Source organism: Homo sapiens, chromosome 20 (assembly GCF_000001405.40).
Source record: "Homo sapiens chromosome 20, GRCh38.p14 Primary Assembly".
In the NCBI taxonomy this organism is placed as follows: domain Eukaryota; kingdom Metazoa; phylum Chordata; class Mammalia; order Primates; family Hominidae; genus Homo; species Homo sapiens.
In genome coordinates, this window is record NC_000020.11 from 25,998,218 (window position 1) to 26,024,236 (window position 26,019).

Below are 26,019 nucleotides of genomic sequence, written 5' to 3' on the forward strand. Positions count from 1 at the left end.
CTAGACCCTGAGAGGGCCTGAGGAGGCATGTTAGTTGCCAGTGTGGTGGAGATGGAGTGCCGGGAGGTGGAGGTTGCAGTGAGCCAAGATCACGCCACTGCACTCCAGGCTGGGTGACACAGCGAGTCTCTGTCTCAATAAATAAATAAATAAATAAACAAACAAATGGAAGGGAAAAAACACAATATAAAAACCAAGTGATTCTAAAAGTAACAATATATCATAATGCCTAAATATGTGTAATTGGTGGGGCATGGTGGCTCCGATTATCATAATGCCTAAATTTGTGGGATTGGTGGGGTGTGATGGCTCCCACCTGTAATCCTAGCACTTTGAGAGGCTGGTGGATCACCTGAAGTCAGGAGTTTGAGACCAGCCTGACCAACATTGTGAAACCCTGTCCCTACTAAAAATAGAAAAAAATTAGCCAGGTGTTGTGGCGGACACCTGAAGTCCGAGCTACTAGGGAGGCTGAGGCAGGAGAATCACTTGAACCCAGGAGCAGAGGTTGTAGTGAGCCGAGATTGCCCCATTGCACTCCACCCTGGGTGACAGTGTGAGACTCCCTCAAAAAAAAAAGTTTGTGGGACCAATTCCAATCGAGTCCAGGGGTCTCAGTTGGCCAAGGCAGTCTCAAACTTCTGACCCCAAGTGATCTTCCTGTTTCGGCCTCCCAAAGTGCTGGGATTATAGGCGTGAGCCACCATGCCCAGCCTCCCCTCCTTTTCACTCAGGGATTTTAAATGTTTTATTTGCTCCATCTGTTATGTATGATTGCCTTGACGATTTCAGCTTGAATTAAAATTACATATTTTTGCCTGTGTTTATTAATATTTAAACATATTAAAATAATACATGTTCATAATGAAAATGAAACATTACAAATAAATACACAGGAAAGGCAGTATTCCCCTTCCAGCTCCACTCTTGAAATAACCAGTTAACAAGATGATGAACATCTTTCCATGATGTTCTCCAAGATTCATATAATTATTTGCAATCATACAATGGCATATACAGCTCAGGTGTGGTGGCTCACGCATGTAATTCCAGCACTTTGGGAGACTGAACCGGGTGGATCATTTGAGGTCAGGAGTTCAAGACTACCCTGACCAACATAGTGAAACCCCATCACTACAAAAAACACAAAAATTATCTGGGCGTGGTGGACGCTTGTATTCCAAGCTACTTGGGAGGTGGAGGCATGAGAATCACTTGAACCTGGGAGATGAAAGTTACAGGGAGCCGAAATTGCATTACTTCACTCCCACCTGGGCGACAGAGTGAGATTCCATCTCAATAAATAAATAAATAAATAAAGATAAAGAAAGAAAGAAAAAAAGAAAGATGAAAGAAACAAAGAAAAAAGGAAGAAAGAGAGAAAAAGACAGAGAAAGGAAGCACGAAAGCAAACAAGCAAGCAACCAAGAAAGAAAGAAAGAAAGAAAGAAAGAAAGAAAGAAAGAAAGAAAGAAAGAAAGAAAGAAAGAAAGAAAGAAAAAAATAGAAAGAAAAAGAAATCATGTGCTCAGGTTGCTAGGATCGATGGTAGGAACAAATCCTCTAGCGGTGAAAATGTAAGAATGAAAAAGAAATTTCTGTTAGTCTTGTTTGTTGTACCCCAAGCTCTAAAAATACAGCCATATGTGTGAAAAGATGAAAAAGGCATTAAATTTGTGAATGGAAATCATAAACAGAAATGTGTTCTGATTGACAGCAATTGGGTCAATGCTATCCAAGGTGCAGGCATCCACTGCGGGTCTTAGAACACATCTCCTGCAGATAAGGGAGGGCTACTATATAACGTTTCTTTCTTTTTTTCTTTAATTATAAAACATTCTCCTTTTTTATATAACAATTTGCCATTGATATCACTTTAGGTATAAAGATATTAGGATATCTTTATAGTAGATAAAAAGCTAACTCATTATTTGTAAGAGTTAAAGTATCTTCCACTATATGAGCATTTAAAATGCTAAAGTACTTTTGCCACCAAAAATAGTGCTTCTGTAAATATTCTTTTACTTGTACCTTTATTAATTTTTACTTCTGCTGAAACAAATTGCATGAGGAAACAAATGTATGTGTATAAAATGTAATATATGTATGTATATTTAATATGTGTATATACAACTTAATATATACACATACATACAATAACATACCCCAATTTTTGGTTGTTTTTTGAGGTGGAGTTTTGCTCTGTCGCCCAGGTTGGAGTGCAGTGGTGTGATTTCAGCTCACTGCAACCTCCACATCTTGGATTCAAGTGATTCTCCTGCCTCAGCCTCCTGAGTAGCTGGGAATACAGGCATCTGCCACCAAGTCCAGCTATCTTTGTCTTTTTAGTGGAGATGGGTTTTCACCATGTTGGCCAGGCTGCTCTCGAACTCCTGACCTCAAGTTGTCCACTGACTTTGCCCTCCCAACGTGCTGGAATTACACATGTGAGCCACCGCGCCTGGCCTAACATATACAATTTAATGTATATACAAATATAGATTGGGTGCAGTGGCTCACTCCTGTAATCCTAGCACAATGGGGAGCTGAGGTAGGGGATTGTTTGAACCCAGGAGCTTGAAACAAGCCTGGGCATCATGGTGAAACCCTGTCTGTACAAAAAACACAAAAATTAGTTGGGTGTGGTGGCACGTGCCTGTGCTCTCAGCTTCTCAGGAGACTGAGGTTGGAAGATAGCTGGAGCCCAGGTGGTCGAGGCTGCAGTGAGTTGTGATCATGCCACTGCACTCCAGCATGGGTGACAGAGTGAGACCCTGTCTTAGACAAAAGCAAATCAAACTAAATATAATGTTTACGCTCTACACACTTGATTTCTTTCCAAAGGGTTATATAACACTGTAATTTCACCAGCAATATATGCGACTACTCATTTCCTACATACTCACTATCACTTGTGTGCAGTCGAGGAAAGTTAGTAGGCCTGAATTGCCCAAACCTGGCATACTCCAAAGAATGGTGTGACTCTAGCCCAGCTCCTGGGAAATAACCTCTAGGTCCTTGGAATCTCCTGCCTATCTGGGAGTTAACAATGTGATTTATTGTGGGGACCTTGGACCATGCAGTGTCAGCTTGACCTTGGGAAGGGTGGAGACAGAGAAACCAAGGTCATCCAAATGGGTGCTCTTGTCCATGTGACCAACCTCCAGTAAAACCCTCAACCCCAAGGCTCAGGTAAGCTTCTTGTTGGGGAGTATTTTCTGTACTTTCTGCCACATATCGCTGGGTGAATTAAGCACTGTTCACATGATGCCACTGGGAGAGGACAACTGGAAGCTTGTGCTTGGTTTCTCCTGGACTCTGCCCTATGCACCCTTTTCTGCTGCTGATTTTAATCTGTATCCTTTTGTTGTAATAAACTATAACTGTGAGTATAACAGCTTGACTCAGTTTTGTGAGTCCTTCTAATCAATCACTGAACTTTTGGGACCCCAAAACACAATGTTGTTTCTTAATTGAATTTTCCATGTTATGTAAGAAACCTATGTGCATAATTGAAAATCCCACACTAAGAAAGAGCTTTCCATGCAGTCTACTCCCCAACCTGTTTCTCCAATACTCCCAAGTCTACTTTCTGAATAATCAAATATTTAAATTTTCTAAACTATTTATAATCCATATATCTGAGTGCTTATCTCTGTTATATAATAGATAGATCTTCCTCCTTCTGTTTTTTTTTTTTTTTTTTTTTTTTCTGAGACAGAGTCTTGCTATGTCACTCAGGCTGGAGTGCAGTGGCACGATCTTGGCTCACCGCAAGCTCCACCTCCCGGGTTCACTCCATTCTGCTGCCTCAGCCTCCCCAGCAGCTGGGACTACAGGCACCCGTCACCAGTCCTGGCTAATTTTTTTTTTATTTTTAGTAGAGATGGGGTTTCACCGTGTTAGCCAGGATGGTCTTGATCTCCTGACCTCGTGATCCGCCTGCCTTGGCCTCCCAAAGTGCTGGGATTACAGGCATGAGCCACTGCGCCTGGCCCCTCTTTCTTAATATATCAACTTGATATATTACCTGATGGCTTCGTGTTCTGATAGCTGATGACTTGGCTGACACTCACCCCTTACCACAGTGCCTGAACCACTTTCCTTATATGATGCTCTCACTATTTTCTTTTTCTTTTCTTTTCTTCTTCTTCTTCTTTTTTTTTTTTTTTTTGAGACAGAGTCTTGCTCTGTCGCCCAGGCTAGAGTGCAGTGGTGCAATCTCAGCTCACTGCAACCTCTGCCTCCCAGTTTCAAGTGATTCACCTGCCTCAGCCTCATGAGTAGCTGGGATTACAGGCATGAGACACCATGCCCAGCTATTTTTTGTATTTTTAGTAGAAGCGGGGTTTCGCCATCTTGGCCAGGCTGGTCTCAAACTCCTGATCTTGTGATCCACCCACCTCGGCCTCCAAAAGTGTTGGGATTACCGGTGTGAGCCACCGACCCCACCACTCGCACTGTTTTCAATGGCTCTGTTGGTTACCATTCACAACATTCAACAATCAGACTTATACCTCATTTATTTATTTATTTTTAATTTTTTCTGTTTTTAGGTTTAAGGGATAAATGTGCAGGCTTGTTACATGGGTAAATTGCATGTCACTGGGGTTTGGTGTACAAATGATATTGTCACCCAGGTAGTAACCACAGTACCCAATAGTTTTTTGACCCATAGCCTCATGCCATCCTCCCCACTCAAGCAGACCCCAGTGTCTATTGATCCCATCTGTGTGTCCATGTGTACTCAATGTTTAGCTCCCACTTATAAGTGAGACCATGGGTATTTGGTTACCTGATGCTGCATTAATTCATTTAGGATAATGGCCTCCAGCTGCATCCATGTTGCTTCAAGGGACATGGTTTCTTTTTCTATGGCTATGTAGTATTCCATGGTGTATAATTACCACATTTTCGTTATCCAATCCACTGCTGATGGGCATCATATATGCCACTTCAAATTATACTACTAGGCTACAGTAACCAAAATAGCATAGTAGTGTACAAATACAGACACATAGACCAATGGGATGGTTAGAAAACCCAGAAAAAAATTAACACACCTACAACCATGTGATCTTTGACAAAGTCAACAAAAGTGAGCAATGAGGAAAGGACTCCCTATTCAACAAATGTTTCTGGGATAACTGGCTACCCACATGCAGAAGACTGAGTCTGAGCCCCCTACCTTTCACCATATACAAAAATTAACTCCAAATGGATTAAAGATTTAAATATAAGACCCCAAACTATAAAAATCCTGGAAGACAACCTAGGAAACACTCTTCTCAACATCGGCCTTGGCAAATAATTTTTGGCTAAGATTCCAAAAAAGCAATTGCAGCAAAAACAAAAATAGACAAGTGTTACCTAATTAAGCCAGAAGCTCGGAGGCCAGGTTGGGCAGATCACAAGGTCAGGAGTTTGAGACCAGCCTGACCAACATGGTGAAACCCTGTCTCTAATAAAAATACAAAAATTAGGTGGTGGTAGTGCACACCTGTAATCCCAGCTATTCAGGAGGCTGAGGCAGGAGAATTGCTTGAACCTAGGAGGCAGAGGTTGCAGTGAGCCGAGATCGCACCACTGCACTCCAGCCTGGGTGACAGAGCAAGACTGCCTCAAAAAAAAAAATTAAAGTAAAATAAAAGCGTAAACACAACAAGACAAACTATCAACAGAGTAAACAAACCACAGAATGGGAGAAGATATTCACAAACGATGTATCCAACAAAGGCCTAATAATATCCAGAATCTATAGACAACTTAAACAAATGGAACCCTTACTCTGTAGCAAGTTCTGTATGCATAAGCCTCTCTTTGTTCTTATTTTGGTGGCCTCTGTTTATTTACACAAAGAGGAAGAACTGCTATTCCCATAAATCATGGCTTTCAAAATGGTCACAGTTCACTGGGCATGCTTGCTCATGCCTGTAATTCTATCATTTTGAGAGACCGAGGTGGGCAGATCACGAGGTCAGGAGATCAAGGCCATCCTGGCCAACCCAGTGAAACCCCATCTCTACCAAGAATACAAAAACATTAGCCATGATTGGTGGCATGCACCTATAATCCCAGCTACTCAGGAGGCTGAGGCAGGAGAATCACCTGAATCCAGGAGGCAGAGGTTGCAGTGAGCCGAGATCATGCCACTGCACTCCAGCCTGGATGACAGAGTAAGACTGTCTCAAAAAACCCAAACTGGTCAGGCTCGGTGGCTCACGCCTGTAATCCCAGCACTTTGGGAGGCTGAGGCAGGTGGATCACAAGGTCAAGAATTCAACACCAGCCTGGCCAAGATGGCGAATCCCCAACTCTACTAAAAAATACAAAAATTAGCCAGGCACAGTGGCAGGCACCTGTGATCCTAGCTACTTGGGAGGCTGAGGCAGGAGAATCACTTGAACCCAGGAGGCAGAGGTTGCAGTGAGCTGAGTTCTCACCACCGCACTCCAGCCTGGGCAATAGAGTGAGAATCTGTCTCAAAAAAAAAAAAAAAAAACCCATGGAGAAACTCCATCTCTACTAAAAATACAAAATTAGCCAGGCTTGGTGGCACATGCCTGTAATCCCAGCTACTTGGGAGGCTGAGGCAAGAGAATCACTTGAACCTGGGAGGCAGAGGTTTCGGGGAGGTGGAGGTTGAGGTGAGCCAGGATCGTGGCATTGCACTACAGCCTGGGCAACAAGAGTAAAACTCTCTCTAAACAAACAAACAAACAAACAAACAAAACAAAACAAAGAAAAGTACACACAATTTATTTCCTGGTTTGTGATAATCTGTGAAATATATTTTGAAATGAATTGGAATTCAATACAGTACTATTCAAACCCCAAATACTCCTAATATTTCCTTTCCCAGATGATGACCTGGTACTCTTCCTAGGGCTTGATTTCTCCCTACAGGTCCCCAGTACAAGTATTTGTGATTCTGAGTCAATTCATTGTCTACATGTGTGACAATGCAATGCTCTTGTTGTAGAGTACCAAGATGAGGCAGGTCCAAACTGCACATTTGTAGAGAACATAGTATGTGTGCAATTGAACATGTATGTGGTTGTGATACTGAAAACAATACAAACTTAGGCCAGGCGCAATGGCTGATGCCTGTAATCTTAGCACTTTGGGAGGCAGAGGCATGGAGGTCACCTGAGGTCAGGAGTTTGAGACCAGCCTGGCCAACCTGCTGAAACCCTGTCTCTACAAAAAATTAGCTGGGTGTGGTGGCAGGCACCTGTAATTCCACCTACTCAGGAGGCTGAGGTGGGAGAGTCGCTTGAACCCAAGAGGTGGAGGTTGCAGTGAGCTACCACTGCATTCCAGCCTGGGTGACAAGAGTGAAACTGCATCAAGAAAAAAAAAAAAATTGGCCTTGGGCATTTCTTTAGGTTGGCTCCTGTGTTCTATTTATAGCATGCCTTTATCAGGGGGTTGGGGTGTGGGACTAATTACCAACTTTCTGGCACCATAAAGTGTTTTGATTCATCTGGTATTTTCCCTGACCCAGACGTGGAATAAACCATTTATTAAAGATCCTTGGTTTCTTTCATTGAAAAGTATTATTTACAAAGCACCAAAATCTTGGGCTGGGTGAGGTGGCTCAGGTCTGTAATCTCAACATTTTGGGAGGCTGAGGCAGGAGGATCCCTTGAGGCCAACAGTTTGAGACAAGCTTGGGCAACGCAGTGAGACCCCCATCTCTATTTTTAAAAACCAAACAAAAACAAAATCGCCAAGATCGGGGTGACACGTGTGCTCATTGCTATGGGTGTGTCATTGCTTCTAGGCCCTCTTAGTGGGCAGAACTAGGAAATACATTGTATGTATACTAACACACATGCCACATGCCTAATTCGTATATTTATTCAGCCTTGCTGGAAGCATTCTTTTTTTTTTTTTCCAGACAGGGTCTCACTCTGTCACCTAGGATGGAGAGCAGTGGCATAATCTCAGATCAATGCAACCTCCACCTCCCAGGTTCAAGTGATTCTCCTGCCTCAACCTCCTGAGTAGTTGGGACTACAGATGCATGCCACCATGCCTGGCTAATTTTTGTGTTTTTAGTTGAGACAGGGTTTCACCATGTTGGCCAGGCTGGTCTGGAACTCCTGACCTCAGCGGATCTGCCTCCCTTGGCTTCCCAAAGTGCTGGAATTACAGGCATGGGCCTCTGTGCCTGGCCACGCATTCTTAATGGGAGTGATATTGCCCCTAAGAGGGTGAACATTGGTTATTGAAGGTAAAATGAATTATAGTTGTTGCAGTGGTTTGTGGCCTTCCACAATTTTTTTTTTTTTTTTCGGAGAGGGAGGCTCACTCTGTCACCCAGGCTGGAGTGCGGTGGTGCAATCTCTGCTCACTGCAACCTCCACCTCCTGGGTTCAAGTGATTCTCCTGCCTCAGTCTCCCAAGTAGCTGGGATTACTGGCACACACTACCACGCTCAGATAATTTTTGTATTTTTTGTAGAGACAGAGTTTCACCATGTTGGCCAGGCTGGTCTAGAACTACTGATCTCAAGTGATCTGCCTGCCTCGGACTCCCAAAGTTCTGGGATTACAGGTATGAGCCACCATGCCTGGCCTATTGCACAAAATTTTACTCCTTGGTATTTAATTTCTCTCAAATATGATGGGCAGCATTAATCATTTTATGGAAGATAAAAAATCCATGCAAGATCAGGCCATGCACGGTGACTCACACCTGTAATCTCAGCACTTTGGGAGGGCAAGGAAGGTGGATCACTGAAATTCAGTAGTTCAAGACCAGCCTGGCCAACATAGTAAAACCCTGTGTCAACTAAAAATACAAAACAATTACCCAGAAGTGGTGGCACCTGCCTGTAATCCCAGCTACATGGGAGGCTGAAGCAGGAAAATCGCTTGAACCCAGGAGGCAGAGGTTGCAGTGAGTGGATCGTGCCACCGCCCTTCATCCTGGGTGACAGAGTGAGCCTCCACCTCAAAAAAAAAAAAAAAAAAAAAATCTTTGCAAGATCAGTGTTACAAAATGATGGCAAATTGATGGCTATACCTGGAAGACTTTTTTTTTGATTGAATGCTCTATCCCAAAGTTATATGAGAGGTGGTCTCTGTGTGTCTATTGACTGCCTTGTGGATAGTATTTATGATTGATCCTCAGTGCTTTGGGAATTATGTAAAATAGTTTATATTACGAAAGTAATTCAACCTAGCATTAATTGTGTTAAGTGTTGAAAATGAAAAGTGTTGACTACATCTGAATGAATGAATATCTGGCCAACTGGTTTTGTTTTTTTGTTTGTTTGTTTGTTTGTTTTTGTTTTTACAGATGGAGACTCACTCTGTTGCCCAGGCTGGAATGCAGTGGCATGATCTTGGCTCACTGCAACCTCCACTTCCTGGGTTCTAGCAAGTCTCCTGTCTCAGCCTCCCGTGTAGCAGGGACTACAGGTACATGCCCCCACACCCAGCTAATTTTTTGTATTTTAGTAAAGACGGGGTTTCACCCTGTTGCCCAGGCTGGTCTTGAAATCCTGAGTTCAGGCAATCCACCCACCTCAGCCTCCCAAAGTGCTAGGATTACATGCTTGAGCCACCGCGCCCAGCCTAGCTTACAGTTTTATTGAAAACCCTATTTAACTCAAAACAGCTTGTTTCTTATGAATAATAGTCTTTGTTTGTTTGTTTTTACAAACGGCTATGAAATCATCAAGATTTGTGGATCATCAATAAAAGAAACATCCTGATAAAGTCGAGAAACAGAATATTTAAAAAGTTTAAAATAGAATTTTGAACTGTGACACTGTTACTTCTTATTTAAGAAAGACAAGCTGCGGGGGGAGGTGGCTCACACCTGTAATCCCAACACTTTGGGAGGCCGAGGTGGGTGTATCACGTGAGCCCAGGAGTTGGAGACCAGCCTGGGTAATATGGTGAAATCTTGTCTCTACTAAAAACACAAAAACTAGCCTGGCATGGTGTGTGCACCTGTAATTCCAGGTACTCGGGAGGCTGAGGCAGGAGACTCGCTTCAACCTGAGAGGCGGAGGATGCAATGAGCCGAGATTGCAGCACCATGCTCCAGCCTGGACTATAGAGCAATACTTGGTCTCAAAAAAAAAAAAAAAAAAAAAAAAAGGATAAGCAAACCAATTATGATGAAATAATTGCCTTACAAAATTGCAGAAATAGGCCAGGCGTGGTGACTCACGCCTGTAATCCCAGCAATTTGGGAGGCCGAGGCAGGCGCATCACCTGAGGTCGGGAGTTTGAGACCAGTCTGGCCAAAATGGCGAAACCCCGTCTCTACTAAAAATACTAAGTTAGCCAGGCGTGGTGGCACACACCTGTAATCCCAGCTACTCGGGAGGCTGAGGCAGGAGAATCATTTGAGTCCCGGAGACGGAGCTTGCAGTGAGCTGAGATCATGCCACTGCACTCCAGCCTGGCTAACACAGCAAAACTCTGTCTCAAAAAAAAAAAAAAAAAAAAAAAGAAAAAGAAAAGAAAAGATTACAGAAATCATTGTAAAACCCCATAGTGCTTTATACTTGCTGAAACTGTCACAGGACTCACATGAGAGACGGTAACTTCAATAGTGATGTAATACATTGCCACTATTTCACAATCACTCCTATTGAGCAATAATTCAATTCAAAGATGCATTAATGAGATGTCAGGTAATACCAAAGAGTAGCTGATTAATCAAGTAAGTTTCCTATTCAGATCAATGAAATCAGTTACTGAGAGTAAGGCCTGACAATAGGACATGTTTGTTATTTCAATAATGACTGCAAACTAGAAGAAGAGATATTGTTTGTAAAATCTTTAGACGCTGACCGTACCAGAGCATCTATTCTTGCTGCTATAAAAACTTGGTTTGGGGCTGGGAGCAGTGGCTCACGCCTGTAATCTCAGCACTATCATTTTCTCACATGAATCGGAAAATGCCGACGTCTGCATCCTAAATCTAAACTAATTTCCCACTCACTTGCTAAGCTTCAGTCACACCAGGCTGCTTTCTGTTTCTGGAATGCTCCAAGTGCTCTCTGATTTTTCAGGGCCTTCAGTGTAACTGTGCCTCTGCTTGGAATACCCTTCCACACTGATGGCTCCTCACCACCAAAGCTCGAGGGTTATCTCTCAGACACCCGTCCTATCAATGCTACGGGAAAGATCCCTCAAGTTACTGCTTATACCACCTATTGATATATTTCATAGTATTTATCACAATATAAAATTACTTCATTTTCCCCTTTTAATTTAAAATCTTTTTTTTTTCTCCAGACAAGAATGTAAACCTCATGTGGGCAGCAGACATGTCTGCTTACTTTTTTTTGAGACGGAGTCTGGCTCTGTCACCCAGGCTGGAGTGCAACGGCGCGATCCCGGCTCACTGCAACCTCTACCTCCCGGGTTCAAGCGATTCTGCTGTCCCAGCCTTCCAAGAAGCTGAGATTACAGGCGCCCACCAGGCCCGGCTAATTTTTGTATTTTTAGTAGGGGAGCAGTCGGGCTCTGGACTACATTTCCCGGAGGATTCTGCAGGCCAATACCACGTCTCGCGAGATTTCGGCTTCCTCTTAGCCAGGTGGCAGATTCTTTCGCTGTGCCCAATTAGCTGCTGCCGCGCCTTGGAGTCCGGAGTAACTTGGCCAGGCTGGCCCCGAGCGGAACTGGAGAAAGCTGAGGGTGAGGAATCCGGCTCCGGTCCTTTTGTGTGTGGAGGGCTGAGGAGAGGAGTTTGCGTGTGTGATTGCCATGGTTGCCGTGGGTCTTCGTGGTCTGTGACTGTGGCTGCGTGGTGCTGACTCTGGGTGATCAAGTGGGCGCTTGTGACTGTGCGCGCTCGGAGTGGATGTGTGTGTCCTGGACGAGCCGCGTTGTGTGTGCGGATGTGGACAACCGGTGACTGTGTGGTTGGGGCTGCGTGTCCCAGGGTGGATGTGTGACTTTGCGTGTGTGTGCAGTACTGTGTGTGCGTGAGTTGCAGGTCTGTGGCTGTGCAGGTGCAACTTGTGTGGCCCCGTGGTCTGTGTGAGAGAGGAGAGTGTGACTGGCTGTGAGGCAGAGGGTAAGTGGATATAGGGAGGCATGTGTGTGATTGGAACTTTGTGTGTCCCCTTGAGAGAAAAAAACCTTTAGGGAGTTAGAGCGGGTCCTTGGTAAAACTCCTTTAAACAGAGAAACAGCCAGAAAAATCAGGCTGCAGGCACAGAGAAGGAAAACTAGCAAAGGGGGTTGTCCTAAAGACATTCCTCAGCTGCACTGATAAGGGACCGAGGCCCAACATAGAAATGCCTTTGTCCTTTGTGTGACCAGCGGGCTTCCAGGAAATAGTCGCTTTTTTGTGGGCATGTATACAGTGGGCTCTGTTAGATTTTGAAGGGAAGGCGAAGGTTAAAGAAAGAGAGTTGGCGGCTCTATGGAGGGGACCAACTAAATGCCAGAGCCCACTGCCGCTTACAAGCTGGAGTAATTATAGGCCTGGGCAGGAGGGGTCTGGGCAGTATAGCTTGTTGCCTGGGAGAATGTTGGTAAGGATGTTTCTTGGGCCTTTCCCCAGCAGGATGTGATAAGGAAGTCAGGCGGTTGGGGAGGATGTTTCTCGCAGCCCAAACCCCAGTGGAATGTTTCCCTCTGAACAGGGTCTGTGAAATGGTGGGGGCTTACAAATCGGTGCAGCTTGGACTAACAGGCTCCGGCGGCCACTTTGTTTTCTGGACATGCTTTGGACTGTGAGCCGAGCCTCTATGAATCATCACTTCAGCCTCTGATTGGTCCTGGGCCAAACTTTCACTTCAGCCCCTGATTGGTCTTGGGCCAAAATTTCACTTCAGCCTCTGATTGGTCCCAGGCTAAGGTCCCGGGCCAAGCGAAGTCGTGCTATCTCCAAGACAGCTCACAGACCAGTGAGCACATTCTTCCTCTTCCCAGTTCACAAAACCCCCAGATTCAGCCTCCTAGTTGGCAACCCTCTTTCGGGTCCCCTCTCTGCTGGGGAGAGCTTTCTTCTTTTGCTTATTAAACTTCTGTTCCAAACTCATTCTTTGTGTCCACGTTCCTTAATATTCTTGGCTGTGAGAGAAAGAAGGCAAAGACAAGAGCCTTTATCCTAACAACTCAATTGTTGGAGAGAAGATTCATGCATATTCTATGTGGCATCACACGCCATAGCCCTGGGATTGAAAGCCATGCAGTTTAAGGGATGGTGTTAATCTCAGTCCAAATAGGTAATAAGATCTTTCACGTTGCTATATTTTAGGGGTAGGAATGAGATTGGGGGTTTGATCAATAGTTTGTACCCATAGGACCAGGGATTTGCCCAGTCATCTGTGAGTAAATGCTTGGGCCAGTTTCCATGCCTGTATTGAATTAAATACTCATACGGTTCTGTGATTTTGTCAAATACAAATTTGGTCTTTGTCCCTATTTCCTGGCATACAACTCCTAAAATCCTTGGAATGTCCTAAGGGCTTGCTGTTTTTTTTTTTTTTTTTTTTTTTTTTTTTTTGAAACGGAGTCTTGCTCTGTAACCCAGGCTGGAGTGCAGTGGCGCAATCTCCACTCACTGCAACCTCTGCCTCCCGGGTTCAAGCAATTCTTCTGCTTCAGCCTTCCGAGTGGACTACAGGCATGTGCCACCATGCCCGGCTAATTTTTGTCTTTGTTTTCTTCTTTAGTAGAGACGGGGTTTCACCATATTGGCCAGTCTGGTCTCGAACTCCTAACCTCAAGTGATCTGCCTGCCTCGGGCTCCCAAAGTGTTGGGATTACAGGCGTGAGCCACCGCACCCAGGCTTTGGCTTTTTATATGTTAGTGATTGACCGATAGCTTCAGGATGTGGACTGGTCATCAGAAAGACCAAGGCAGGATTAGAGGGTTGGGACTTTCAGCCCCTACCCTCCCACCCCTGGGGAGTGGAGGGGACTGAGGATTAAGTTGATGGCAAGTGGCTAATGGTTTAATCAATCATGCATATGTAATGAGGCCACCTTACAAACCCCAAAGGAGTGGATTCGGAGAGCTTCCAGAGAGCTGAACACATGGAGGTTCCTGGAGGGTTGTGCCCAGGGAGGGGATGGAAGCTCTGTGCCCCTTCCCCCATACCTCGTGCTAGGCATCTCTTCATCTATATCCTTTGGAATATCCTTATAATCAAATAGTAAATGTGTTTCCGTGAGGTTTGTGAGCCATTTTATTCTAGCAAATTAATCAAACCAAAGAGGAGGTCATAGGAACCCCAAATTAAACCCATCAGTCAGAAGTTCCAGAGGCTGGGACTTGTGACTGGTGTCTGAAAGGGGGGCAGTTTTGGGGGCTGAGCCCTCAATCTGTGAGGTGACACTGTCTTATGGCAGATAGTGTCAGAATCGAATTGGTGGACACCCAGCTGGTGTCTGCTGCAGAACTGATTCCTTGCTTGGTGAAAGGGAGAAATCGCCTCATATTTTGAGGCCACAGAAGTCTTCTGGGTAGATTGTTGTGTTTTTGGTGTGAAGCAGAGGAAGAACACAGGTTGAGTTTTTTCCAAATGGGTTCACATTGGGGGTCCTCAACCTCAAATCCATCAACTCCATCGCTGAATTTTTATTTATGTATTTATTTTTATTTATGAGGTAGAGTCTCACTCTGTCTCCCAGGCTGGAGTTCAGTGGCACGATCTCAGCTCATTGCAGCCTTGATCTCCTATGCCCAAGAGATCCTTCTACCTCAGCCTGCCAAATAAGCTGAAACCAGAGGCACACACTAGCACTATGGTGTAATTAAAAATAATTTACAGTAGAGAAGAAGACTCACTATGTTGTCTGGGCTGGTCTTGAACTCCTGAGTTCAAGTGATCCTCCCCCTCTGCCTCCAAAGTGCTATGATTACAGGCATGAGCTGCCTCACCTATCACTGATTTTCTTTTTCTTTCTTTCTTTCTTTCTCTTTCTTTCTTTCTTTCTTTTTTTTTTTTTTGACAGAGTCTCACTCTGCCTTGCCTAGGCTGAACTGCAGTGGTGCAATCTTGGTTCACTGCAGCCTCCACCTCCCAGATTCAAGTGATTCTCCTGTCTCAGCCTCCTGAATAGTTGGGATTACACGTGCCCGCCACCACACCAGACCAATTTTTGTATTTTTAGTAGAGACAGGGTTTCACCGTATTGGCCAGGCTGGTCACGAACTCCTGATCTCAGGTGATCTACCTGCCTTGGCCTCCAAAAGTGCAGTGGCAGGGTCAGGGCATACTGCAGCCTTGACCTCTGGGGCTGAAGGGATCCTCCCTCCTCAGCCTCCCAAGTATCTGGAGTATAGGCATATGGCACCATGCCAGGCTAATATTTGTAATTTTTGCACAGACGGGGTTTTGCCATGTTGCCCAGTCTGGTCTTGAACTCCTGAGCTCCAACAATCTTCCCACCTGAGCCTCCCAAAGTTCTGGGATTACAGGGAAGAGCCACTGCACCCGGCCTATCACTGCATTTTTAAAGGGAAGGAGGACTATAGTGAGATTCACTAAGGCTTACAGAAAAGGTAGAACCCCAGATAGATTTAAAGACAGAGATTATAATATTCTTGAGATGATAATATCCAAATTTAGCTTTCATAGATAGGGAAATTTGAAGTACATCAGACTATAAGTTGGCATTTTGTGCAACTAATTAAAACTACGTTTGAAAGAGAGCAATTGCATATTTGTTACTGAGTAATATTAAGCAACCATGAAAATAAATAGAAATAACCAAGAAATTGTTATATTTAAATCCTCCCTCCTTTTTTGGAAAGAGAAGTATTGATATTTTTGGATTCTAATCAAAACTTCTCTTTTAAAATAAAATTGATGATTCTATGGAGATAGGGAGGGAATAACCTATGTTTATTGAACACCTAATATTCCACTTACCCAAATGTCATTTATTCTATATTCTAGGTTTTTGTTGAGACAGGGTCTTTCTTGCTCTGTTACCAAGCCTAGAGTGCAGTGGGGTGGTCACAGCTCACAGAGGTATACCACCATGCCTGGCATTTTATTTTATTTTATTATTTTAATTATTTTATTTTATTATTATTTTATTTTATTTTATTTTATTTTATTTTATTTTATTTTATTTTATTTTATTTTATTTTAATTTTTGCAGAGACGGTGTCTCCCTATATTTCCCAGGCTTGACTTGAACTTCTGGGATCAAGCAATCCTCCTGCCTTGGCATCCCAAAGTGCTGGGATTATACGCATAAGCCACTGTGTTCAGCCAATATTATAGTCTTGATAGTAGAAGTGTCTCAGTGTACTGGAAAACTTTGTCTAAATTTTGAAAAAATATTACAAAACACGTTGGTTTTATTTGGCCAATACTGATTTCTTTGCTCCATCATTATTTATTGGCATTATTAGCCTGTTGACTTTCAATTTCCTTACATCCCTTTCACTCCATTTCTTTTGTTTTGCACCCCAAATAGAAACTCTTTTTTTTTTTTAGATGGATTCTCGCTCTTGGCTCTTGTGACCCAGGCTAGAGTGCAGTGGTGCAGTCTTATCACTGTAATCTTCACCTTCCAGGTTCAGGCAATTCTCCTGCCTCAGCCTCCCAAGTAGCCTAGATTACAGGCATGCGCCACTACACCCTGCTAATTTTTTGTATTCTTTTTTTTTTTTCTTGAGATGCAGTTTCACTCTTGTTGCCCAGGCTGGAGTGCAATGGCATGAACTCTGCTCACTGCAACTTCTGCCTCCCAGGTTCAAGTGATTCTCCTGCTTCAGCCTCCCAAGTAGCTGGGATTAGAGGGTGAGCCACCACACCCGACTAATTTTTGTATTTTTAGTAGAGACAGGGTTTTGCCATGTTGGACAGTCTGGTCTGGAACTCCTGATCTCAAGTCATCCACCTGCCTTGGCCTCCCAAAGCGCTGAGATTACAGGCATGAGCCACTGTGTCCAGCTTTTTTGTATTTTTATATTTATTTATATTTTGATAGACAGTCTGGCTCTGTTGCCCAGGCTGGAGTGCAGTGGCACAGTCTCGGCTCACTGCAACCTCCGCCTCCCAGGCTGAAGTGATTCTCCTGCCTCTGACTCCCCAGTAGCTGGTATTACAGGCACCTGCTACCACACCTGGCTACCTTTTGTATTTTAATTAGAGACAGGGTTTCACCATGTTGGCCAGGCTGGTCTTGAACTCCTGACCTCAGGTGATCTGCCCACCTTGGCCTCCCAAAGTGGCCTTGCTTGAGGCCAGGAGTTTGAGACCAGCCTGGCCAACATGGTAAAACCTGCTCTTTACCAAAAATACAAAAAAAAAATTAGCCAGGTATGGTGGTGTGTGCCTGTATTCCAAGCTACTTTGATGGTTGAGTCACAAAAAACACTTGAACCCAGGAGGCAGAGGTTGCAGTGAGCTGTGATCACCTCACTGCACTGTAGCCTGGGTAACAGATTGAGACTTGTCTCAAGAAAAAAAAAATTCTTGGCAGGACGTGGTGGCTCACACCTGTACTCCCAGCATTTTGGGAGGCCAAGGTGGGTTGATCACCTGAGGTCAGGAGTTTGAGACCAGCCTGACTAACATGGAGAAACTCTGTCTCTCCTAAAAATACAAAATTAGCTGGGCGTGGTGCTGCGTGCCTGTAATCCCAGCTACTCAGGAGGGTGAGGCAGGAGAATCGCTTGAACCCAGGAGGCAGAAGTTGCAGTGAGCCGAGATCACACCACTGCACTCCAGCCTGGGCAACAAGAGCAAAACTCCGTCTCAAAAAAAGAAAAAAAAATCTTTACTTTGGATAAATACTTAGAAATGGAATTTCCAGGTCGGCCTTTAGATATTATTAATGGATTTAATATGAAAAACCTTTACTTGAGGATGTATAAAGCTTTAAAAGACAGGGTCCCTATTCTTAAGTTATAAGTAAAGCAGCATTTGTAAGGTAATATTCAGAAAACATCAGATAATATCCTATAAAGTCCTCCTGTTCTTGCTGATGACATTGGATGGCCAGTTAAGGATGACACTTCATTCTGTCCTCTGCAACCACGGTCCTGACATGTCTAAATGATACTTGCCCTATGAGAACACTGTGGATGTGAAAGCATTTCCTCAGGTTATCTTTTTGACCTGCTGGTTTTAATCTAATGATGGGATATCCAAAGTGAATCTAACTGAGTGACATGATTGTGGATCTGTTGGGGGGAATCAGAGACAGCTAGAGCAAGGGCAGACACGTGCTGAACTCATCTGTCTTAAGAGCCGAAGAAAGCAGCAGTGTTACTAGCAGAGCTACTGCACATCTGTACACGTGGCTCCAATGGCTCTGACCTGTTTTTTTCCCAGTATGAACCTAATACATGAGGCAAGTTAGAAAATCAGAGTTGGCCAGGCATGGTGGCTCATGCCTGTAATCCTAGTACTTTGGGACCCAACGTGGGTGGATCACTTGAGGCCACGAGTTCGAGACCATCCTCGGCAACACAGTGAAACCCCGTCTCTACTAAAATTACAAAAATTAGCTGGGTGTGGTGGCAGGCACCTGTAATCCCAGCTATGGGAGGCTGAGGTTGCAGTGAGCCAAGATCAGGCCACTGCACTTCAGCCTGGGTGACAGAGCAAGGCTGTCTCAAGACAAAAAAAAAGGGAAAGGAAAGGAAAGAAAATCACAGCTTGTTAGGCACTTGCAGCTAAACACATATGCACAAAAATTATTCAGTAAAAGCAAAACAGTTTTGGTGTATCTTGAGATTTTGTTTTATATCCAAAGGAAGACTATATCTTTCATCTTTGAACTAGTCTTTGGAAAATGCCTTCTATATAACAAATGTTATAGTTTTCTTCTAATTAGGTCTTGAGGTCTCTCAGGAGAATGGCTATAAACTCTACCTCACTCTAATGGGGCTCTAGGGGAGGGGCCTGTGGGTCTTTAGAGTAGCCTTTCACTGGACATTTCTTTTTCCTGGACCACAGCCTAATGCTCAAGTATCTGACCCATGACCAGGTGTCTCACAGGAAACTTGTTTATACTGGCAGATGCCCTTGTAACTTTTGTCTGACCTGTGTGCAGTTTATTCCTACCATGATACCCACTCTTTTTTTTTTTTTTTTTGAGATGCAGTCTCCATCTGTTACCAGGCTGGAGTGCTGTGGCATGACCTTGGTTCACTGCAACCTCCACCATCTGGGTTCAAGCAATTCTCCTGCCTCAGCCTCCCGAGTAGCTGGGACTACAGGCACGTGCCACCATGCACAGCTAATTTTTGTATTTTTAGTAGAGTCAGAGATTCACCATGTTGTCCAGGATGGTTTTGATCCCTTGACCTCATGATCTGCCCTACTCAGCCTCCCAAAGTTCTGGGATTACAGGCGTGAGCCACCGCACCTGGCCTTTTTTTTTTTTTTTTTTTTTGAGACAGGATCTTGCTCTGGTGCCTAGGCTGGAGTGCAGTGGCAGGATCACAGCTCACTGCGGCCTTGACCTCCTAGGCTCAAGCAACCCTCCCACCTCAGCCTCCCAAGTAGCTGGGACTAGAGGCATGTCCCACTACATCTGGCTAATTTGTATATGATATGTATTTTTGTAGAGATAGGGTTTTGCCATGTTGCCCAGGTTGATCTTGAACTCCTGAGTTCAAGCAATTCACCTGCCTTGGCCTCCCAAAGTGCTGTGATAACAGGTGTGGGTTACCACACCCAGCCAATGTACATTTAATTATCGAAGTGCTATCTATACTATTTTATGGAAGTACTAATTATCAAAGTGCAATAGAGGTTTTGTTGTTGTTGTTGTTGTTTTTCTTTTGAGACAGAGTTTCACTCTTATTGCCCAGGCTGGAGTGAGTGGTGCGATCTCGGCTCACTGCAACCTCCACCTCCCAGGTTCAAGCGATTCTCCTGCCTCAGCCTCCCAAGTAGCTGGGATTACAGACATGTGTCACCACACCCAGCTAATTTTATATTTTTAATAGAGACTAAAATGGTCTCTCCATGTTGGTCAGACTGGTCTCGAACTCCTGACCTCAGGCGATCCATCCGCCTTGGCCTCCCAAAGTGCTGGGTTTACAGGTGTGAGCCACTGTGCCCGGCCAATAGAGGTTTTTAACCTTTTTGTAGATATTTTTGAAAGATCCTGTCTTCCTTTAAGAAAAGAGACAAGGCTGGGTGTGGTGGCTCATGCCTGTAATCCCAGCACTTTGGGAGGCCAAAGCAGGTGGATTGCTTGAGCTCAGGAGTTTGAGAGTAGCCTGGCCAAATGGCAAACCCTCATTTCTACTAAAAAAAAAAAAAAAAATTAGCTGGACATGGTGGCGCACGCTTATAATCAAAGCTAATCAAAGCTAAGGTGAGAGGATCACCTGAGCCTGGGAGGTTGCGGCTGCAGTGAGCTGTGATTGTGCCACTGCACTCCAGCCTGGGCAACAGAATGAGACCCTGTCTCAAAGTGAAAACAAAAACAAAAAAATGAAACAAGAGAAAAAAAAACAAGAAAGAAAATGGTAAGGGGGAAGTGCCTATTTATTAAGCTTTTGTTGTAAATAGTAACTTGCATATCAGATGTTTACTGTAATATTCTTGAAGCTTTGCCAAGCCTACAGCTTGCTGTGTGCTTTTCAACTCTATTTCATTTATTTGGGAAATAATATATCAATGTACTTTATTCATTCCCAGCTCTAACCATGGAATACTGGGAATGTCCCTTTCTGTGAAGGAGGTTTGTCAGCCACAACAGGAATATTCATGAACATGAAGGTACTTTGTTGAAGTCACACTAATTTTTTTACTCTTCCCCACTCTCAGCCTAGCCGGTCTGCACACTACATTCTCTCCATCCTTCAGCACCCTTCCATCTCTTCCTTCATCTTAAAAACCTTTCCTTTAATTTCAACAGCGCTGCCTGGGTTTGTCATTTCAGGGGTTGGGCATGTTCCAGGATCTGTCTATCGACTTCTCTCAGGAGGAATGGGAGGGCCTGGACACTGCTCAGAAGGACTTATAGAGAGATGTAATGATGGAGAACTATAGCAGCCTGGTCTCACTAGGTAAGGATGTCTATCCCCAAATAACTCATGAGTTTTGGCTGTAGCTTTCACTTGTCTGGGTGACTTTTCACCTGCTGCCTAGGGAATTGTTTTGTGTTTAGTAGATTAATAGATGGGCAGCTCTTTGGGGTCCTTCCATCTTCTCCATGCTTCAGACCTTTACACCTTCCTCTAGTCCTTCGTGAGTACTAAGGGACTAACTTTGAATTCAGGAACAGCAGGAGTATGTCTTACTTCTTTTCTTTCTTTCTTTCTTTCTTTCCTTCTTTTTTACTTACTTTCTTTCTTTCTTTTTCTTCTTTCTTTCTTTTTTTTTTTTTTGAGATGAAGTCTCACTCTATCGCCCAGGCTGGAGTGCAATGGTGCGATCTCGGTTCACTCCAACCTTCATCTTGGGTTCAAGCAATTCTCACGTCTCAGCCTCCTGAGTAGCTGGGATTACAGGCACTGGCCACCATGTCTGGGCAATTTTTGTGTTTTTAGTAGAGACGGGATTTCACCATGTTGGTCAGTCTGGTCTTGAACTCCTGACCTCAAGCAATCCACCTGTTTTGGCCTCCTAAAGTGCTGGGATTACAGGAGTGAGCCACTATGCCTGGCCATCTTACTTCTTTTCTTATAAACAGGTCTCTCTATCCCAAAGCCTGATGTGATTTCCTTACTGGAGCAAGGGAAAGAGTCCTGCATGGTTTCAAGGGACGTACCAGGAGGATGGTGCCCAGGTGAGTAAGGACTGAGCAGATGGGGAAGGCACTGCTGTTTAGAACCCAGCCCATCAGGGAGGCAGCACCATAAAGGTATTGGTTGAGGAATCTCTTCTGCAAGGTCCCATGTAAGAGTTGTGGCCTAAGACACATGGAGGAAAGTCAAGATACCCCCACCACACACATTTTTTTTAATTTTTTTAATTTGAGAGAGATTCTTTCTCAGTCACCCAGGCTGGAGAACAGTGATGCAATCTCGGCTCACTGCAACCTTCACCCGCGGGTTGAAGCGATTCTCCTGCCTCAGCCTCTAAAGGAACTGGCATTATAGGCACCTGCCACCATGCCCAGCTAATTTTTGTATTTTTAGTAGAGAAGGCGTTTCACCATGTTGGCTAGGCTGGCCTCGAACTCCTGACCTCAGGTGATTCACCTGCCTTGGCCTCTGAAAGTGCTGGTATTACAGGTGTGAGCCACTGTGTCTGGCCAAGAACCCCCTTTTACCTCCACCTCTTGGACAGTCTGTGCTACCCTCTTGTCATAATTTCTTTCCATTTCAAAGAATAATGCTCCCTTCTTCAGAAGCCATCCTGTTTCCTCTATCTTGGAGCTACTTCTTTCCCTTTAAAATTTAAACCCATGTAGTTGCTTTAAAAACAAATCTTTTAGAATATATTTATTTTTCATACTGATCCTTGACTTTTTTTTGCCTTGTCTTTTCTTGTCTAGTTTTCCTTTAATGCAGCCATTTCATGCATCAATGGATATTCATTCAGCACTCTTTTTTTTTTTTTGGATACAGAGTCTCACTCTGTAGCCCGGGCTGGAGTGCAGTGGTGTGATCTTGTCTCACTGGAAGCCAATAAGAAACGCTTGGGGATGACCTCCCTACAAGCACAGGAAAACCATTCCTGCGCATTTCTGCGCTGGAACGCCTACCTTTAGTGCCGTTTCCTGCGCTTTCTTGCAGATTTGTATCAGGCACTGGAGAACCTCCCACCTGGTCCATGCCCGGCTCCCGGTGAGCACCGAGACCCAACCTTGTGCACAGCCAGTCTTGTCATCAACAAACAGGGTAGTAAATTATAAAAAATAAAATAAAGGAAATGTAGCTGGGCGTGGTGGCATGCGCCTGTAATCCCAGCTACTCCGGAGGCTGATGCAGGAGAATCGCTTGAACCCAGGAGGTGAAGGTTGCAGTGAGGCGAGATCGCGCCACTGCGCTCCAGCGTGGATGGCAAGAGCGAAACTCCTTCTCGAAATAATAAATAAAATAAAGGAAATAGGGCCGGGCATGGTGGCTCACGCCTGTAATTCCAGCACTTTTGGTGGCCGAGGCGGGCAGATCACTTGAGGTCAGAAGTTCGAGACCAGTCTGGCCAACATGGTGAAACCCCTTCTCTACTAAAAATAAACAATTAGCCAGGCATGGTGGCGGGAGCCTGTAATCCCAGCTATTTGTGAGGCGGAGACACAAGAATCGCTTGAATCCCGGAGACAGAGGTTGCAGTGAGCCGAGCTCGTGCCACTGCGCTCCAGCCTGGGCGACAGAGCAAGACTCCATCTTAAAATAAAATAGGCCGGCCGAGGGTGCTCATGCCTGTAATCACAGCATTTTGGAGGCTGAGGCGGGTGGATTGCCTGAGCTCAGGAGTTCAAGACCATCCTGGCCTACATGGTGAAACCCCATCTCTACTAAAAATGCAAAAATTAGCCGGGCATGGTGGCGCATGCCTGTAATCCTAGCTACTTTGGAGGCTGAGGCAGGAGAACAGTTTCAACCCAGGAGGCGGAAGTTGCAGTGAGCCGAGACCGCCACATTGCACTCCAGCTTGGGCAAGAGGATTGAAACTCCATCACAAAAATAAATAAATAAATAAATAAATAAATAAATATAAAAGAAATAGACAAAGCAAATCTTAATGCATGAACTCAAACAAATGCTTTCACTGCCAGGCTCCATCTTTGCAAAACTGAACCTAGGACAATGTGAACGTTTCTAACTAGCAATTCTGGAGGACAGATCAGGGAGGCAGCGTGAGCTTGCTTTTCTGCAATTTAATTGACTGGTCAGTAAAGTCAGTGTTTGCAGGCATTTTCAATGTTCTATAGTGGGCTTCAGTGCCTGTGGCAGGCCAGGTTTGCAATAGCAACCAGAACAGTTTCTACTAACCCTTTACTATAATTTTGATGAATGCATAAGTTAACGTTAAAGAAATGGAGAAACTGGTGCCTGAGTATCACGGATGGAATGTGAAAACAAACCCACTGAGACCCCGTCTGGGTTTTCTCAGACCCTAAAATCTGATCGAATAATGATAGCGTTCGTACACATTCACCTCGGCCTGTCTTAAGATTCAAAAACTTTCCAAGACTCTAGGGAAATCTTTCCAGACGCTAGACCCGAGTTAAAGATTAGATGTTGATTGAATGAAACACTCCTGCTTGTAGGTGCAATCCCACATGGAGCTTAAGATATATATAAGCACTAGAAAAAAAAACTTGTAACTTTGAGTTGATCTGGTGATTTACCTGGCGCTTCTCCCTGTAAGTGGCTGCAGAAATAAACTTCCTTCTTTCCCAGTCTGTCTGTATCTTAGTATTGAACAATTGCGATGGAGCTGCCCAGCAAAGTCCTCTTCTATGTGGTTATCTGGGACTCCTTTTGGAGGGAACATTTTAAATTTTCCATTTCAAAGCATTCTGTTGGCCTTCTTACACTGTTTTTCTCTGCCTATCCTGGGACCTGAGTTCTCCTGGACATGAATCTGCAGCCACAGAGCCTAGAAGCTCATTCCTCCACATTCTGTGACTGTTCCCCAAACACAGGGAGAATTTGCAGAAAATAAGCCCAAAAATCTTGCCATTCTTTGCAATAAAACCCCACATTACAAACTGCTGAAAACAGGATTTTAGCCTGAATAGGTTGTTCCTCTATTTGAAAGCCTTTACAATTTCGGAGGGAAGTTTCCAAATCAATCAGTAAGTACCCCCCACTCCAGGTTTATCCTTATGTAAAGTGCCCCCTTTGCACATGCAAGATTGAATAAACCTTGAAAATATTATGCTAAGTGAAAGAAGCCGGTCACAAAGGACCACATGGTATGTAATTCCATTTAAATAAAATGTCCAAAATAGACCAACACATAGAAACAGAAAGTAGATTTGTGGTGGCCCAGGATTAGGGGAGTTGGGGGGAAATGGAGGGATATGGTGTTTACTTCAGGGTAATGAAAATGATCTAAAATTTATTGTGGTGATGTTTGCATAACAGTGCAAATATACTGAAAACCACTGAATTTTACACTTTAAATCAGTGGCTTCTGTGGTATGTTATCAATATTTCTCAATAAAACTTCAAAAAAATAGTGCCTATCTGTCTTTTTGTGTATTATTCCTCCAGAGTCCAGTCCATAGTTTTTACATTTGACGAAGAAATTAAGATTTTCTTTCTTCTTCCTCTTCTTTTTTTTTTGAGACAGAATCTCCCTCTGTTGCCCAGACTGGAGGGTATTGGCACAATCTTGGCTCAGTGCAACCTCCAGGCTAATTTTTGTATTTTTAGTAGAGACAGCGTTTCACCATGGTGGCTACACTGGTCTCACACTTCTGACCTCAAGTGAGTCCCCCACCTTGGTTTCCAAAATTGCTGTGATTACAGGCATGAGCCACCGCACCCAGCCCAAGATTAAGTTTTGTTGTTTTGATGCCCTAGGGACATCTTATTCTACCTTAATTTCTGACGCATCATCTCGGTGGAAATTTTACATTAGGCCCCAAAGTATTTTCCTCTTTTTAAGATTTTATCAGCTGAGTACAGTGGCTCACACCTGTAATCTCAGTACTTTGGGAGGCCAAGGTGGGAGGATCAGTTGAGCCCAGGAGTTCAAGACCAGTCTCTGCAATATAGTGAGACACACATATCTACAAAAAAATTTTAATTAGGTGGGCATATTGGTGCATGCCTGTGGTCTCAGCTTACTACATAGGCTGAGGAGGGAGGATCACTTGAGCCCAGGAGGTTGAGGCTACAGTGGCCATGATTATACCACTGCACTCCAGCCTGGGGGACAGAGCGATAACCTGTCTTAAAAAAAAAATTGATTGGAATTTTTTTTAGAAAACAAAGTATACACTTAGTGACTTGATACAAATGAATGAATTTGATAACTTACAGAAACCAAAACAAATAAATAAATAAAAACCCAAAGCCATTCTTCTTATGTGAATCTCTGGTGTCTCTGAATTATAAGAATTGTGAATTATGATTAATAACAAATACGCATGACAAGGACTCAGTAAGGGATAGGCATTAATAAACTGCAATGCA

General features: G+C 44.1%; 1 long non-coding RNA gene across 1 annotated transcript, besides 2 other annotated features; it reads left to right on the forward strand.

Annotated features, from left to right (window-relative positions):
- Positions 1,156-1,340: a silencer, noted in NCBI's record as "fragment chr20:25980009-25980193 (GRCh37/hg19 assembly coordinates)". NCBI's record gives its function as "represses an EF-1alpha promoter that drives an FKBP-Casp9 reporter gene in an ReSE screen in K562 erythroleukemia cells {active_cell/tissue: K562}" and the evidence as "EXISTENCE:reporter gene assay evidence [ECO:0000049][PMID:32094911]".
- Positions 11,392-12,011: an enhancer, noted in NCBI's record as "H3K27ac hESC enhancer chr20:25990245-25990864 (GRCh37/hg19 assembly coordinates)". NCBI's record gives its function as "activates a minimal SCP1, AML or CMV promoter by ChIP-STARR-seq in naive H9 embryonic stem cells {active_cell/tissue: H9 hESC(naive)}" and the evidence as "EXISTENCE:reporter gene assay evidence [ECO:0000049][PMID:30033119]".
- Positions 11,582-25,055, forward strand: LOC100134868 (uncharacterized). Its single transcript, NR_004846.3, has 5 exons — positions 11,582-11,672; positions 20,615-20,695; positions 20,859-20,985; positions 21,612-21,707; positions 22,419-25,055. It is a non-coding gene; the product is annotated as an uncharacterized LOC100134868 (long non-coding RNA).
- Positions 25,056-26,019: the final 964 nt, after the last annotated feature.